This window comes from Homo sapiens, chromosome 1 (genome assembly GCF_000001405.40).
Source record: "Homo sapiens chromosome 1, GRCh38.p14 Primary Assembly".
Taxonomy (NCBI): Eukaryota; Metazoa; Chordata; class Mammalia; order Primates; family Hominidae; genus Homo; species Homo sapiens.
In genome coordinates this window covers 146,959,037-146,974,974 of record NC_000001.11, presented here as the reverse complement: position 1 = coordinate 146,974,974, position 15,938 = coordinate 146,959,037, and the positions used below count along the sequence as shown (strand labels likewise).

General features: G+C 46.1%; 1 protein-coding gene across 2 annotated transcripts in view; it reads right to left on the bottom strand.

Annotated features, from left to right (window-relative positions):
- Positions 1–15,938, bottom strand: part of NBPF12 (NBPF member 12) — a 57,875-nt gene that overhangs the window by 21,224 nt on the left and 20,713 nt on the right. The window contains exons 6-18 of one of the 2 annotated variants that reach the window (NM_001278141.3): positions 14,969–15,116; positions 14,657–14,866; positions 12,712–12,814; positions 11,666–11,880; positions 10,546–10,618; positions 9,871–10,082; positions 8,302–8,511; positions 6,425–6,527; positions 5,379–5,593; positions 4,256–4,328; positions 3,581–3,792; positions 2,015–2,224; positions 134–236 (exon numbers count right to left, since the gene is read on the bottom strand). In NM_001278141.3, coding sequence (NP_001265070.1) covers positions 134–236; positions 2,015–2,224; positions 3,581–3,792; positions 4,256–4,328; positions 5,379–5,593; positions 6,425–6,527; positions 8,302–8,511; positions 9,871–10,082; positions 10,546–10,618; positions 11,666–11,880; positions 12,712–12,814; positions 14,657–14,831 — 1,904 coding nt within the window. In that variant the 5' untranslated portion in view covers positions 14,832–14,866; positions 14,969–15,116. Of the gene's footprint in view, positions 1–133; positions 237–2,014; positions 2,225–3,580; positions 3,793–4,255; positions 4,329–5,378; positions 5,594–6,424; positions 6,528–8,301; positions 8,512–9,870; positions 10,083–10,545; positions 10,619–11,665; positions 11,881–12,711; positions 12,815–14,656; positions 14,867–14,968; positions 15,473–15,938 lie in introns of those variants that run through there. The other variant, XM_047447088.1, reaches the window with a different exon arrangement.

Here is a 15,938-nt window from a genome sequence, read left to right as displayed (position 1 = left end):
GTGTAGCAAACCTGCCATGGCAATTCCTGCCCTTCCCCTGGCCCAGCTTAGCTCTTACGTCTCCCCACTGAGCTACTGTACTTCAGAGATTTACACACCTGCCCCCCTGTCTGCCCCCATGGGGTCCCCTCACCTGAGCTCCTCAGCTTGCTTCAGCTGCTCTGCAAGCTTCTCCTCCTTGAACTGTAGCTCATTCCTCAGCATAGATTTTAGGAGGTCTTTGCACTCTTCATATTCTGAGAAAAGACAGACACGCCTGCATCAGTGGAAGGCTGGACATGCTGCTGTGGTCATTGCCTACAGGGCAGGAGCCAGGTCCATCCCAAGGACAAAACTCTCCACAGTACCAGGGTCTAGACAGGGATTTCCACGTCTTTACTCTTCAGTCTCCTGACTTTCTGGCATCTGATCCTCCAAAATTTAGAGATGAAGAAAGAGAACCTCAAGGGCACATCAAGGAAGTTGACAAGATGATTCAACCACAACGAAGTGGAGTCAGAATTCACAGTCCCTGAGGTCTGACTCTGAATTCGGGGCCACTTTCCCAAGACTTGCAGCCTCTCCTCTAAAACACTGCACTGGGGCATGAAGTAGTGATTTCTTGTACAGTCAGGAAGGCTCCTAGAACTATGGGACTGATGGTTTCCCTTTTACTGGGAATTTCAAGGACAAGTATGTGAAAGATTTTAAAAATCTTTGATTTTTTAATCATATCTTCAGTTATGATTTTAAGAATCATATCTGAAGCATAAAGTGTGACACATAACACCATAAGGCCATGAAGGAAATCCTATGCCCAAATGCTAATGAAGTTTCTGTTAATTTAGAAACAGCAGAATGAAGAACTAATAGATAGTGTTTACTCTGTGCCAATAAATGTTCTAGGAGATTGACAAGAAATAGCTGATGTAATTCATTGCAGCAATTTACAGAGGTAGGTATTATTGTAGTACCCTCTGAACAGGTGAGGAAACTGAGGGACAGACAAGACAAGCAACTTGGATGGAGCCCAGGAGACAGGCCCATGGTCCCTGCTCTGTACACTGCACTGCTACCTCCACACATTCTCGGGTGCGATCTTTCTTCCTCTTTAGGAACAAGACTCTGTGCCCCAGGAAGCAGGACTTCACTCTCACCAAGCTACTCTCTGCTTTTTATTCTTATTTTTATTTCTCATTATTATTTTTTTTTAACAGTCTTGCCCTGTCACCCAGGCTGGAGTGCAACGGCAAAATCTTGGCTCACTGCAACCTCAGCCTCCTGGGTTCAAAGGATTCTACTGCCTCAGCCTCCTGAGCAGGGGTGATTACAGTCACCTGCCACCATGCCCATCTACTTTTTGTATTTTTAGTGGAGATGGGGTTTCTCCATGTTGCCCAGGCTGGTCTCAAACTCCTGACCTCGTGCTCTACTCGCCTCAGCCTCCCAAAGGGCTGGGATTACAGGAGTGAGCCACCATGCACGGCCCCTACTCCCTGCTCTTGATGCTGTCACTTATAGATAGCACAGGTTCTATTAGGAGCAGACTCCTCTTGAAGCCCCTCAGAGCGGGTACTGGCTACTATCACCAAGTTTCCCTCAGAGTCACTAGAACAGAGCTTTGCGTATTGGGCCTCAACAGAAACTTGAACTGAATAAAAGTTCACTAGTCTCAGACATTTAGAACAACAGACTAGATGTTATTTGTCTGCAGGATCTTATATGGTACAGAGAGGATTCTTGAAAACACGATTGAGCCTCTTGGAGAAAACAGGTCATTCTGTGCCGGTGTCAGAAATCAATAAATGGCAGTTTAATTCTAGTCCCACCCCCACCTGATTGCAAACATGGAAAGTTGCTAAATACTTTGGTACCTCTGTCTTCCAACTTTAACAAAATGTTAAAATACCCATTTCTGTTTTCCTAGAAGTATGGGGAGGATGACATTATTTTTGATGGAGAGAGCACTTAGTTTCTCAGAGAGAAGACAGGACTTCGTTCATCACTTTCATGATGGTGAGCATATAGATCTTACTGTATTTGTTCTGCTGCTTGGCCAGGAAGCAGGCCACTTGAGTTACAAAACATTTCTCTTTGAGGCTTCTGAACTGCTGTTTCTTCTCTGCCAGCTGGGGGCGCAACTTCTCATTGATTTCTAGAATGTTCATCTCTGCCTTCTCGCTGGACAAAGGGCCGGCTGATACCACCATGCTGACGTTTGTGGCAGAAGAGGTGGGGCCAGGGACTGGGGAGAAGAAAGGCAAACACATGATGGGTTAAAAACTGATGAAATGAAATAGGCTTAATCAGGACTGAGGGATGTCACTGGTAGCCTTGTCTACTTATTTGAAGATGTTGTTTCCCTGGTTTCACCCTTGTCATCTCCAGTCTTGATCTCCTTTAAGTCAACTTGTCTTAGCTATGCAGTCACCTTGAAACCAGGACATAAACACTTCTACACTTTTCTTGCTTATAAGTTTCTATAAAGCAAGGCTTGGCCCTGAGATTTTTACCCCATGAGTGGCCAATGTTTCTGTGTAGCACAAAAGATTTCATTTTGCTTTTTTAATTTTTTTCTTTTTTGGTTTTTTGTTTTCTGTTTGAGACGGCGTCTCACTCTGTCACGCAGGCTGCAGTGCAGAGGCACAATCTCAGCTCACTGCCACCTCTGCCTCCCGGGTTCAAGCGATTCTCATCACTCAGCCTGCCAAGCATCTGGGATTACAAGCGCCAAGTAACATGACAGCTAATTTTTGTATTTTTAGTAGAGATGGGGTTTCGCCAACTTGGACAGGCTGGTTTCGAACTCCTGACCTCAGGTGTTCCACCTACCTCCGCCTCCCAAAGTGCTGGGATTAAGATGTGAGCCAGCGCCCCTGGTCAGAGACTTACTTTTTTTTTTTTTTTTTAGATGGAGTCTCGCTCTGTCTCCCAGGCTGGAGTGCAGTGGCACAATCTCGGCTCACTGCAAGATCCGGTTCCTGGGTTCATGCCATTCTCCTGCCTCAGCCTCCCAAGTAGCTGAGACTACAGGCACCCAACACCGCGCCCAGCTAATTTTTTTTTTTTTTTGTATTTTTAGTAAAGATGGGGTTTCACCGTGTTAGCCAGGATGGTCTCAATCTCCTGACCTCGTGATCCACCCGCCTCGGCCTCCCAAAGTGCTGGGATTACATGTGTGAGCCACCGCGCCTGGCCAAGACTTCTTATTAATAGCTAAGACAAGCCAATGAAAAGGAGAGAGAGTCTAGCCTGAGAGGAGTGAACGAGAGTGGGAGGATCGTGTTAGCCGATCCTCCCACCTAAGTCTCCTGAGCAGTTGGGACTATAGGCACGCAGCACCATGACTGCCTAATTTTTTGTATTCTTCGTAAAGATGGGTTTCACCATATACTCCAGGCTGGTCTTCAACTCCTGAACTCAAGTCATCCTCCCACTTGGGCCTTCCAAAGTGCTGTGATTATATGTGTGAGTCACAGCACCTAGTTCCATCCTAGTTTCTGACTAAAACAATAACAATATGTGTATATACAGCCTGTCCTCAGAATTGATCTTCCATAGCCTAGACAGAGGTATGAGACACAAGGAAAATAGAGGCTACCTGGGAGAATGTTTAGAGCATCCTGACATTCATCATGAGAGGATTCTCTGTCTACAACCAGAGATGAGTTGACTTTGTCTTCCTCAAATGTGATTTTGATGTTCTTGTGAGGCTGGTTGGAGTCACAAGGGCCGTGGCTATTTGAACAAGTGATGGCACATTCCTCCAGTGAGTCCTCAGGGACTTTGCTTTCTTCAGCCTTCTGCATCTCCCTGATGAGCCAGGTGGGACAGAGATGACAGAAGATTAAACACAGAGGGATTGGACCCCAAGGAGTCCTAGCTGGTTTTGACAAGCGGCATTAAGAGAGTGGTCCCAGAAAGCAAAATGGAGGTTCCCTTTAAGAGGGAACAGGCAATCCTCTTCTCTCTGCAACAGAGCATGGCTGCCATGGGAGCCAGAGAGGAAGAGAGCAGCTGGTGTTCAGTGCACTGGACAAATAGGAGCTGAGGAGGATGAAGACTCAGCTATCCCTGTATGGTACAGACATGACACTTGGCACACATACAGAAACACGACAGCTGCCACACCCTGTGTCTAAGCTGGGTTGAATTTCACATACTGTGGCCAAGGGAATGCGGGCTTTTGGCCCATCATAGATGCCAGAGAGGGCATGCCTCCTAGACATTTTCATATGTTAACACCCATTACTTGCTCCTGAGTATTCAGTGTCACCTGGGGGAAGATGATTCCAGCACTTTCTCATCCTCCTCAACTTGAACATCTTCATCCTCATCTTCATCATTTTCTATAAATACAAAATGTTCGTTCAGATATTTTCCACTTCACATTCTGCAAGCACAGTCAGCCCAACGTGCACAGAGACATGAACATCTATGTATGGTTCAGCATTGTACTGAAAACTCTCATGTTTTATCTTTCACAAAATGCCCTGGCATGGTTTCCTGGTCCATCAGGCAATGCATTTCTGATGTGGAGGGCCACCATCAAGATGTGGCCAAATACTGAAAAGACCTTTTGCTTCCCATATCACTGGAGGCTTGTGCAGCCTCTCTCTGGACTTTGGCAGCTGTCTCCCCCATCCTGCCACAGATCTGATTCCCAGGAACAGGCTTGGTGTCCTGTCACAGTTCGCATTTCAAACCTCATTCTTTCTCTTAGGAGAGGACAAACTTGTCCCACAGTCCTCTATTCGTCATGAGACTGCACAGGCCCTCCATGTGGCTTCTGCTGTGTTATTCAGGGACATTCTATCCATGGGGAGTGCTCCAGTCTGAAGCACTTCCTACCACCAAATGCCCCCACATCAAGTGCCTTCCCCAACACCACACCGAGAGGGGCTTCATCTCATTTTGAAAAGCATTCGTAAGTGTTCCCATATTTGGATGCTTCAGACCCTTGAAAGAGACAATTTGTCTGCCTTTGCAGATGGAGAGAGAGAAACTCTGGAAAGATAAATCACTCACTCACCGACACTTACTAAGAACATTGCCAAAAAGAAGCCTGGGAACCTTCATTCTTAGCCCAGAGCTCTTTTCACTCCAACAAGCGCCCTCCCATCACAGCCTCCTTCCTGTCCTTTAAAACTAGATAGATGCTGCCTCTTGCTCCAAAGACCACCTTCCATCAAGGAAGGAGGGACACTTGCAATACTGGGACCTCCAAACCCATGGGTTTCCCATCTCCGTTCTTACCCAGGAAGTCCTGGTCATGTCATGGCCACACATGTGTAGTAGAAAAAAACCCCACTGATACAACTGTCATTGTGAAAGTATGGAGGTCTGGAGCCTCTCATAAGCCTGGGGTTTTGGGTCATCAGGGCCTGTGGCCACCTTACCTGGGCTGAGCTTTTGGACAAGGTGCTGTGCCAGTCTACACCCCTCAGCCAGCTGTTCTTGGAGGTCCTGCCCCTGGGACTTGTCCGGCTCATCCGGAGTGAGGAGGGCCTGGAGATGCTCATTCAATGAGCGGGAGGCATCTCTCCCTTCCCGTAACTTCTCCCTTAACTGGGTCAGCTCTCGTTCCTGAGAGTGAACCAGGACTTTATATTGCCTAAGGTGAGACGGTAGAGAAAATTTAAGAGTGGAAAGGGTTGAGTGATCCGTTCAAATATTGCAACAGAGATTTCTGAGACAATGTCCTCAAGGAGACCTCCAAGCAGAAGGTCAGCACATGTTGAAAGGAATGACTGTGGCCAAGAGAAAGAAGAGAAAATGGTTTACAGGCTTCCTCTGTATCAGAGAGGGCTCCTGCAAGATCCTCGATGATGTTCCATTCATCTTTCCCTTCTGTAAACAAAAGTAGGTGTCTTCCTAATTCCGTTTCAAAAAGACATCCTTTCAGTTCCTCACTCTGGCCATGGACATTTCCATGTGAAAATACACATAGTGCATCTTGCGGCCACTAGACACAAAGCCATGTACAGAAATGAGGCCAGATGCAGATGGGGTGAATTGAAAAGATGAAAGAAGAAAAGAATGACAGGGTCGAGAAGGCAACATTGAGTGAAAGAATGAGAAGCCGCAGTCAGTCAGGAGGTGATTCTCACTAAGGGTAAGTGGGGTCGTGATGGCACACCATTTTGAGTATACTGAATGCTGCTGTGTGGTTCACACTCCTTTGGTTAATTTTGTGTTATGTAAATTTCACATCAACAATTACTTGTTTGAAAAAGAGAAAACAAGGCTCTGAGAAACAACTGCAACCCATAAATTTTTATTATCCTTCTTCTCTGTTTGATAAATATTTGTGTGTAGCGAGCCTGCCATGGCAATTCCTGCCCTTCCCCTGGCCCAGCTTAGCTCTTAAGTCTCCCCACCGAGCTGTTGTACTTCAGAGATTTACACACCTGCCCCCCTGCCTGCCCCCATGGGGTCCCCTCACCTGAGCTCCTCAGCTTGCTTCAGCTGCTCTGCAAGCTTCTCCTCCTTGAACTGTAGCTCATTCCTCAGCATAGATTTTATGAGGTCTTTGCACTCTTCATATTCTGAGAAAAGACAGACACGCCTGCATCAGTGGAAGGCTGGACATGCTGCTGTGGTCATTGCCTACAGGGCAGGAGCCAGGTCCATCCCAAGGACAAAACTCTCCACAGTACCAGGGTCTAGACAGGGATTTCCACGTCTTTACTCTTCAGTCTCCTGACTTTCTGGCATCTGATCCTCCAAAATTTAGAGATGAAGAAAGAGAACCTCAAGGGCACATCAAGGAAGTTGACAAGATGATTCAACCACAACGAAGTGGAGTCAGAATTCACAGTCCCTGAGGTCTGACTCTGAATTCGGGGCCACTTTCCCAAGACTTGCAGCCTCTCCTCTAAAACACTGCACTGGGGCATGAAGTAGTGATTTCTTGTACAGTCGGGAAGGCCCCTAGGACTATGGGACTGATGGTTTCCCTTTTACTGGGAATTTCAAGGACAAGTATGTGAAAGATTTTAAAAATCTTTGATTTTTTAATCATATCTTCAGTTATGATTTTAAGAATCATATCTGAAGCATAAAGTGTGACACATAACACCATAAGGCCATGAAGGAAATCCTATGCCCAAATGCTAATGAAGTTTCTGTTAATTTAGAAACAACAGAATGAAGAACTAATAGTGTTTACTCTGTGCCAATAAACGTTCTATGAGATTGACAAGAAATAGCTCATGTAATTCACTGTAGCAATTTACAGAGGTAGGTATTATTGTAGTACCCTCTGAACAGGTGAGGAAACTGAGGGACAGACAAGACAAGCACCTTGGATGGAGCCCAGGAGACAGGCCCACGGTCCCTGCTCTGTACACTGCACTGCTACCTCCACACATTCTCGGGTGCGATCTTTCTTCCTCTTTAGGAACAAGACTCTGTGCCCCAGGAAGCAGGACTTCACTCTCACCAAGCTACTCTCTGCTTTTTATTCTTATTTTTATTTATCATTATTATTTTTTTTTAACAGTCTTGCCCTGTCACCCAGGCTGGAGTGCAATGGCAAAATCTTGGCTCACTGCAACCTCAGCCTCCTGGGTTCAAAGGATTCTACTGCCTCAGCCTCCTGAGCAGGAGTGATTACAGTCACCTGCCACCACGCCCATCTACTTTTTGTATTTTTAGTGGAGATGGGGTTTCTCCATGTTGCCCAGGCTGGTCTCAAACTCCTGACCTCGTGCTCTACTCGCCTCAGCCTCCCAAAGGGCTGGGATTACAGGAGTGAGCCACCATGCACGGCCCCTACTCCCTGCTCTTGATGCTGTCACTTATAGATAGCACAGGTTCTATTAGGAGCAGACTCCTCTTGAAGCCCCTCAGAGCGGGTACTGGCTACTATCACCAAGTTTCCCTCAGAGTCACTAGAACAGAGCTTTGCGTATTGGGCCTCAACAGAAACTTGGACTGAATAAAAGTTCACTAGTCTCAGATATTTAGAACAACAGACTAGATGTTATTTGTCTGCAGGATCTTATGTGGCACAGAGAGGATTCTTGAAAACACGATTGAGCCTCTTGGAGAAAACAGGTCATTCTGTGCCGGTGTCAGAAATCAATAAATGGCAGTTTAACTCTAGTCCCACCCCCACCTGATTGCAAACATGGAAAGTTGCTAAATACTTTGGTACCTCTGTCTTCCAACTTTAACAAAATGTTAAAATACCCATTTCTGTTTTCCTAGAAGTATGGGGAGGATGACATTATTTTTGATGGAGAGAGCACTTAGTTTCTCAGAGAGAAGACAGGACGTTGTTCATCACTTTCGTGATGGTGAGCCTGTAGATCTTACTGTATTTGTTCTGCTGCTTGGCCAGGAAGCCGGCCAGTTGAGTTACAAAACATTTCTCTTTGAGGCTTCTGAACTGCTGTTTCTTCTCTGCCAGCTGGGGGCGCAACTTCTCATTGATTTCTAGAATGTTCATCTCTGCCTTCTCGCTGGACAAAGGGCCGGCTGATACCACCATGCTGACGTTTGTGGCAGAAGAGGTGGGGCCAGGGACTGGGGAGAAGAAAGGCAAACACATGATGGGTTAAAAACTGGTGAAATCAAGTAGGCTTAATCAGGACTGAGGGATGTCACTGGCAGCCTTGTGTACTTATTCGAAGATGATGTTTCCCTGGTTTCACTCTTGTCATCTCCAGTCTTGATCTCCTTTAAGTCAACTTGTCTTAGCTATGCAGTCACCTTTAAAGCAGGACATAAACACTTCTACACTTTTCTTGCTTATACGTTTCTATAAAGCAAGGCTTGGCCCTGAGATTTTTATCCCATGAGTGGCCAATGTTTCTGTGTAGCACAAAAGATTTCATTTTGCTTTTTTAATTTTTTTCTTTTTTGGTTTTTTGTTTTCTGTTTGAGACGGAGTCTCACTCTGTCGCGCAGGCTGCAGTGCAGAGGCACAATCTCAGCTCACTGCCACCTCTGCCTCCCGGGTTCAAGCGATTCTCATCACTCAGCCTGCCAAGCATCTGGGATTACAAGCGCCAAGTAACATGACAGCTAATTTTTGTATTTTTAGTAGAGATGGGGTTTCGCCATCTTGGACAGGCTGGTTTCGATCTCCTGAGCTCAGGTGTTCCGCCCACCTCGGCCTCTCAAAGTGCTGGGATTAAGATGTGAGCCAGCGCCCCTGGTCAGAGACTTTTTTTTTTTTTTTTTTTTTTTTTTTTTGAGATGCAGTCTCGCTCTGTCTCCCAGGCTGGAGTGCAGTGCCACAATCTCGGCTCACTGCAAGATCCGGTTCCTGGGTTCATGCCATTCTCCTGCCTCAGCCTCCTGAGTAGCTGGGACTACAGGTGCCCACCACCGCGCCCAGCTAATTTTTTTTTTTTTTTTGTATTTTTAGTAAAGACGGGGTTTCACCGTGTTAGCCAGGATGGTCTCAATCTCCTGACCTCGTGATCCACCCGCCTCGGCCTCCCAAAGTGCTGGGATTACAGGTGGAACCCACTGTGCCCAGCCAAGACTTATTAATAGCTAAGACAAGCCAATGAAAAAGAGAGTCTAGCCTGACAGAAGTGAATGAGGGTGGGAGGATCATCTCAGCCCATCCTCCCACCTAAGTCTCCTGAGCAGTTGGGACTATAGGCACGCAGCACCATGACTGCCTAATTTTTTGTATTCTTCGTAAAGATGGGTTTCACCATATACTCCAGGCTGGTCTTCAACTCCTGAACTCAAGTCATCCTCCCACTTGGGCCTTCCAAAGTGCTGTGATTATATGTGTGAGTCACAGCACCTAGCTCCATCCTAGTTTCTGACTAAAACAATAACAATATGTGTATATACAGCCTGTCCTCAGAATTGATCTTCCATAGCCTAGACAGAGGTATGAGACACAAGGAAAATAGAGGCTACCTGGGAGAATGTTTAGAGCATCCTGACATTCATCATGAGAGGATTTTCTGTCTACAACCACAGTTGAGTTGACTTTGTCTTCCTCAAATGTGATTTTGATGTTCTTGTGAGGCTGGATGGAGTCACAAGGGCCGTGGCTATTTGAACAAGTGATGGCACATTCCTCCAGTGAGTCCTCAGGGACTTTGCTCTCTTCAGCCTTCTGCACCTCCCTGATGAGCCAGGTGGGACAGAGATGACAGAAGATTAAACACAGAGGGATTGGACCCCAGGGAGTCCTAGCTGGTTTTGACAGGCGGCATTAAGAGAGTGGTCCCAGAAAGCAAAATGGAGGTTCCCTTAAAGAGGGAACAGGCAATCCTCTTCTCTCTGCAACAGAGCATGGCTGCCATGGGAGCCAGAGAGGAAGAGAGCAGCTGGTGTTCAGTGCACTGGACAGATAGGAGCTGAGGAGGATGAAGACTCAGCTATCCCTGTATGGTACAGACATGACACTTGGCACACATAGAGAAACATGACAGCTGTCGCACCCTGTGTCTAAGCTGGGTTGAATTTCACATACTGTGGCCAAGGGAATGCGGGCTTTTGGCCCACCATAGATGCCAGAGAGGGTGTGCCTTCTAGACATTTTCATATGTTACCACCCATTACTTGCTCCTGAGTATTCAGTGTTACCTGGGGGCAGATGATTCCAGTACTTTCTCATCCTCCTCAACTTGAACATCTTCATCCTCATCTTCATCATTTTCTATAAATACAAAATGTTCATTCAGATATGTCCCACTTCACATTCTGCAAGCACAGTCAGCCCAACGTGCACAGAGACATGAACATCTATGTATGGTTCAGCATTGTACTGAAAACTCTCATGTTTTATCCTTCACAAAATGCTCTGGCATGGTTTCCTGGTCCATCAGGCAATGCATTTCTGATGTGGAGGGCCACCATCAAGATGTGGCCAAATACTGAAAAGACCTTTTGCTTCCCATATCACTGAAGGCTTGTGCAGCCTCTCTCTGGACTTTGGCAGCTGTCTCCCCCATCCTGCCACAGATCTGATTCCCAGGAACAGGCTTGGTGTCCTGTCACAGTTCGCATTTCAAACCTCATTCTTTCTCTTAGGAGAGGACAAACTTGTCCCACAGTCCTCTATTCGTCATGAGACTGCACAGGCCCTCCATGTGGCTTCTGCTGTGTTATTCAGGGACATTCTATCCATGGGGAGTGCTCCAGTGTGAAGCACTTCCTACCACCAAATGCCCCCACATCAAGTGCCTTCTCCAACACCACATGGAGAGGGGCTTCATCTCATTTTGAAAAGCATTCGTAAGTGTTCCCATATTTGGATGCTTCAGACCCTTGCAAGAAACAATTTGTCTGCCTTTGCAGATGGAGAGAGAGAAACTCTGGAAAGATAAATCACTCACTCACCGACACTAAGAACATTGCCAAAAAGACAGCCTGGGAACCTTCATTCTTAGCCCAGAGCTCTTTTCACTCCAACAAGCGCCCTCCCATCACAGCCTCCTTCCTGTCCTTTAAAACTAGATAGATGCTGCCTTTTGCTCCAAAGACCACCTTCCATCAAGGAAGGAGGGACACTTGCAATACTGGGACCTCCAAACCCATGGGTTTCCCATTTCTGTTCTTACCCAGGAAGTCCTGATCATGTCATGGCCACATATGTGTAGTAGAAAAAAACCCCACTGATACAACTGTCATCATGAAAGTATGGAGGTCTGGAGCCTCTCATAAGCCTGGGGTTTTGGGTCATCAGGGCCTATGGCCACCTTACCTGGGCTGAGCTTTTGGACAAGTTGCTGTGCCAGTCTACACCCCTCAGCCAGCTGTTCTTGGAGGTCCTGCCCCTGGGACTTGTCCGGCTCATCCGGAGTGAGGAGGGCCTGGAGATGCTCATTCAATGAGCGGGAGGCATCTCTCCCTTCCCGTAACTTCTCCCTTAACTGGGTCAGCTCTCGTTCCTGAGAGTGAACCAGGACTTTATATTGCCTAAGGTGAGACGGTAGAGAAAATTTAACAGTGAAAAGCGTTGAGTGATCCGTTCAAATATTGCAACAGAGATTTCTGAGACAATGTTCTCAAGGAGACCTTCAAGCAGAAGGTCAGCACATGTTGAAAGGAATGTCTGTGGCCAAGAGAAAGAACAGAAAATGGTCTACAGGCTTTCCCTCTATCAGAGAGGGCTCCTGCAAGATCCTCGATGATGTTCCATTCATCTTTCTCTTCTGTAAACAAAGGTAGGTGTCTTCCTAATTCCGTTTCAAAAAGACATCCTTTCAGTTCCTCACTCTGGCCATGGACATTTCCATGTGAAAATACACATAGTGCATCTTGCGGCCACTAGATACAAAGCCATGTACAGAAATGAGGCCAGGTGCAGATGGGGCGAATTGAAAAGATGAAAGAAGAAAAGAATGACAGGGTCAAGAAGGCAACATTGATTGAGTGAAAGAATGAGAAGACGCAGTCAGTCAGAAGGTGATTCTCACTAAGGGTAAGTGGGGTGGCAATAGCACACCATTTTGAGTATACTGAATGCTGCTAGGTGGTTCCCACTCCTTTGGTGAATTTTGTGTTATGTAAATTTCACCTCAACAATTACTTGTTTGAAAAAGAGAAAACAAGGCTCTAAGAAACAACTGCAACACAGAACTTATTATTATCCTTGTTCTCTGATAAATATTTGTGTGTCATGAGCCTGCCATGGCAATTTCTGCCCTTTCCCTGGCCCAGCTTCGTTCTTACTTCTCCCCGCCGAGCTGCTGTACTTCAGAGATCTACACACCTACCCGCCTGCCTCCCCCCATGGGGTCCCCTCACCTGAGCTCCTCAGCTTGTTTCAGCTGCTCTGCAAGCTTCTCCTCCTTGAACTGTCGCTCATTCCTCAGCATAAATTTTATGAGGTCTTTACACTCTTCATACTCTGAGAAAAAGACAGACACGCCTGCCTCAGTGGAAGGCTGGACATGCTGCTGTGGTCACTGCCTACAGGGCAGGAGCCAGGTCCATCCCAAGGACAAAACTCTCCCCAGTACCAGGGTCTAGACAGGGATTTCCACATCTTTACTCTTCAGTCTCCTGACTTTCTGGCATCTGATCCTCCAAAATTTAAAGACGAAGAAAGAGAAACTCAAGAGCACATCAAGGAAGTTGACAAGATGATTCAACCACCACGAAGTGGAGTCAGAACTCACAGCCCCTGAGGTCTGACTCTGAATGCGGGGCCACTTTCCCAAGCCTTGCAGCCTCTCCTCTAAAACACTGCACTGGGGCATGAAGTAGTGATTTCTTGTACAGTCGGGAAGGCCCCTAGGACTATGGGACTGATGGTTTCCCTTTTACTGGGTATTTCAAGGACAAATATGTCAAGGACTTTAAAAATATTTCATTTTTAAATCAATATTCAGATATGGTTTTAAGAATCATATCTGAAGCATAAAGTGTGAGACATAAGAAAATAAGGCCATGAAGGAAATATGCCCAAATACTTTATTAGTATGAGAGGCAGCATTAAGATTTAGATTAGTTGTGTTAATTTAGAAACAGTATAAGATTAGTTTGTGTTAATTTAGAAACATCAGAATGAAGAACTAATAGTGTTTACACTGTGCCAATTAATGTTCAAGGAGATTGACAGGAAATACCTCATGTAATTCATTGCAGCAATTTACAGAGGTAGGTATTATTGTAGTACCCTCTGAACAGATGAGGAAACTGAGGGACAGACAAGACAAGCAACTTGGATGGAGCCCAGGAGACAGGCTGAGGGTCCCTGCTTTGCACACTGCACTGCTGCTTCCACACATTCTCGGGTGTGATCTTTCTTCCTCTTTAGGAACAAGAGCCTGTGCACCAGGAAGCAGGACTTCACTCTCACCAAGGTACTCTCTGCTTTTTATTTTTATTTTTGATTTATTTATCCTTTTGTTTGTTTGTTTTTTGACGAGTCTTGCCCTGTCACCCATGCTGGAGTGCAATAGTGCAATCTTGGCTCACTGCAACACCTGCCTGCTGGGTTCAAAGGCTTCTTCTGCCTCAGCCACCCGATTAGTGGTGATTACAGTTGCCCGCCACGACGCCCATCTACTTTTTGTATTTTTAGTGGAGATGGGGTTTCTCCATGTTGCCCAGGCTAGTCTCAAACTGCTGACCTCGTGCTCTGCCCGCCTCAGCCTCCCAAAGTGCTGAGATTACAGGAGTGAGCCATGCTGCACGGCCCCTACTCCCTGCTCTTGATGCTGTCACTTATAGATAGCACAGGTTCTATTAGGAGCAGACTCCTCTTGAAGCCCCTCAGAGCAGGTACTGGGTACTATCACCAAGTTCCCCTCAGAGTCACTAGAACAGAGCTTTGCCTGTTGGGCCTCAACAGAAACTTGAACTGAATAAAAGTTCACTAGTCCTAGACATTTAGAACAACAGACTAGATGTTATTTGTCTGCAGGATCTTATATGGTACAGAGAGGATTCTTGAAAACACGATTGAGCCTCTTGGAGAAAACAGGTCATTCTGTGCCTGTGTCAGAAATCAGTAACTGTGAGTTTAACTCTAGTCCCACCCCCATCTGACTGCAAACATGGAAAGTTGCTAAATACTTTGGTACCTCTGTCTTCCAACTTTAACAAAATGTTAAAATACCCATTTCTGTTTTCCTAGAAGTACAGGAAGGATGAAATTATTTTTGATGGAGAGAGCATTTAGTGTCTCAGAGAGAAGACAGGACATCATTCATCACTTTCATGATGGTGAGCCTATAGATCTTACTGTATTTCTTCTGTCGGTTGGCCAGGAAGCCGGCCAGTTGAGTTAGAAAACATCTCTCTTTGAGGTTTCTGAACTGCTGTTTGTTCTCTGCCAACTGGGGGCGCAATTTCTCGTTGATTTCTAGAATGTTCATCTCTGCCTTCTCGCTGGACCAAGGGCCGGCTGATACCACCATGCTGACGTTTGTGGCAGAAGAGGTGGAGTCAGGGACTGGGGAGAAGAAACCCAAACATATGATGGGTTAAAAACTGGTGAAATCAAATAGGTTTAATCAGGACTGAGGGATGTCAGTAACTGAAATTCTTAACTTACTGTTGTGAAAAATGTGATCACTCCCCACAGCACTTTAGGATCCTTCACCACAAAAACAAGGTTCGAGGTGCCTCAACTCAGAGCTGAAAGCACTGCTCAGACTCTGATAAGAGTGAGGTAGATTGTGGCCAGCGTGCCAGGTAACCGTCTGCAGTTGCAATAACAGAATTAGAAGGTAGGGGTGTCATGGAATCTTAGGAGCCCTGCATTCCAATTGCCCAGGCTTTGCTGAAACACAGGCACCCTAGTCTCACCTGAGGGTCACCACCAATGGGGATCATTCCTTCAGCATTCACTCTCAGTATTCGTGTACCCTTGTGACAATGCCACAGACCCGTGTCTTTCCCAATACATCTAAGCATATTCCTCACTGTTTATCTCTTGTCTGTACAACATCATCAAGGCAGAAACAGTTTCCCAACAGGTTATATTTTCTTAATGGTAGTCATGAAGTCATAAATAAAAAAATGGAATCATTTAGTATGTTCTCTTGTTTTGACTTTTTTTTTTTTTTTTTTTGAGACAGAGTCTCACTCTGTCGCCCAGGCTGGAGTGCAGTGACGCGATCTAGGCTCACTGCAAGCTCTGCCTCCCAGGTTCACGCTATTCTCCTGCCTCAGACTCCCAAGTAGCTGGGAATACAGGCGCCCGCCACCACGCCCGGCTAATTTTTCATTTTTTTTTTTTTGTATTTTTAGTAGAGACGGGGTTTCACTGTGTTAGCCAGGATGGTCTCGATCTCCTGACCTCGTGATCTGCCGCCTCGGCCTCCAAAAGTGCTGGGATTACAGGCGTGAGCCACCGCACACGGCCGACTTCTCTTTACTCAGGTGGGAATATATGCCACTAATTTGTTTGATTGTGTTTTTCCCTTGTTTCATTTTGTTTTGGCCAAGTAATATCCTATTGATTGTATGATTATCACACAATTTGATATCCATTTTTCTGATGGGAGACAGGTTTACTTGAT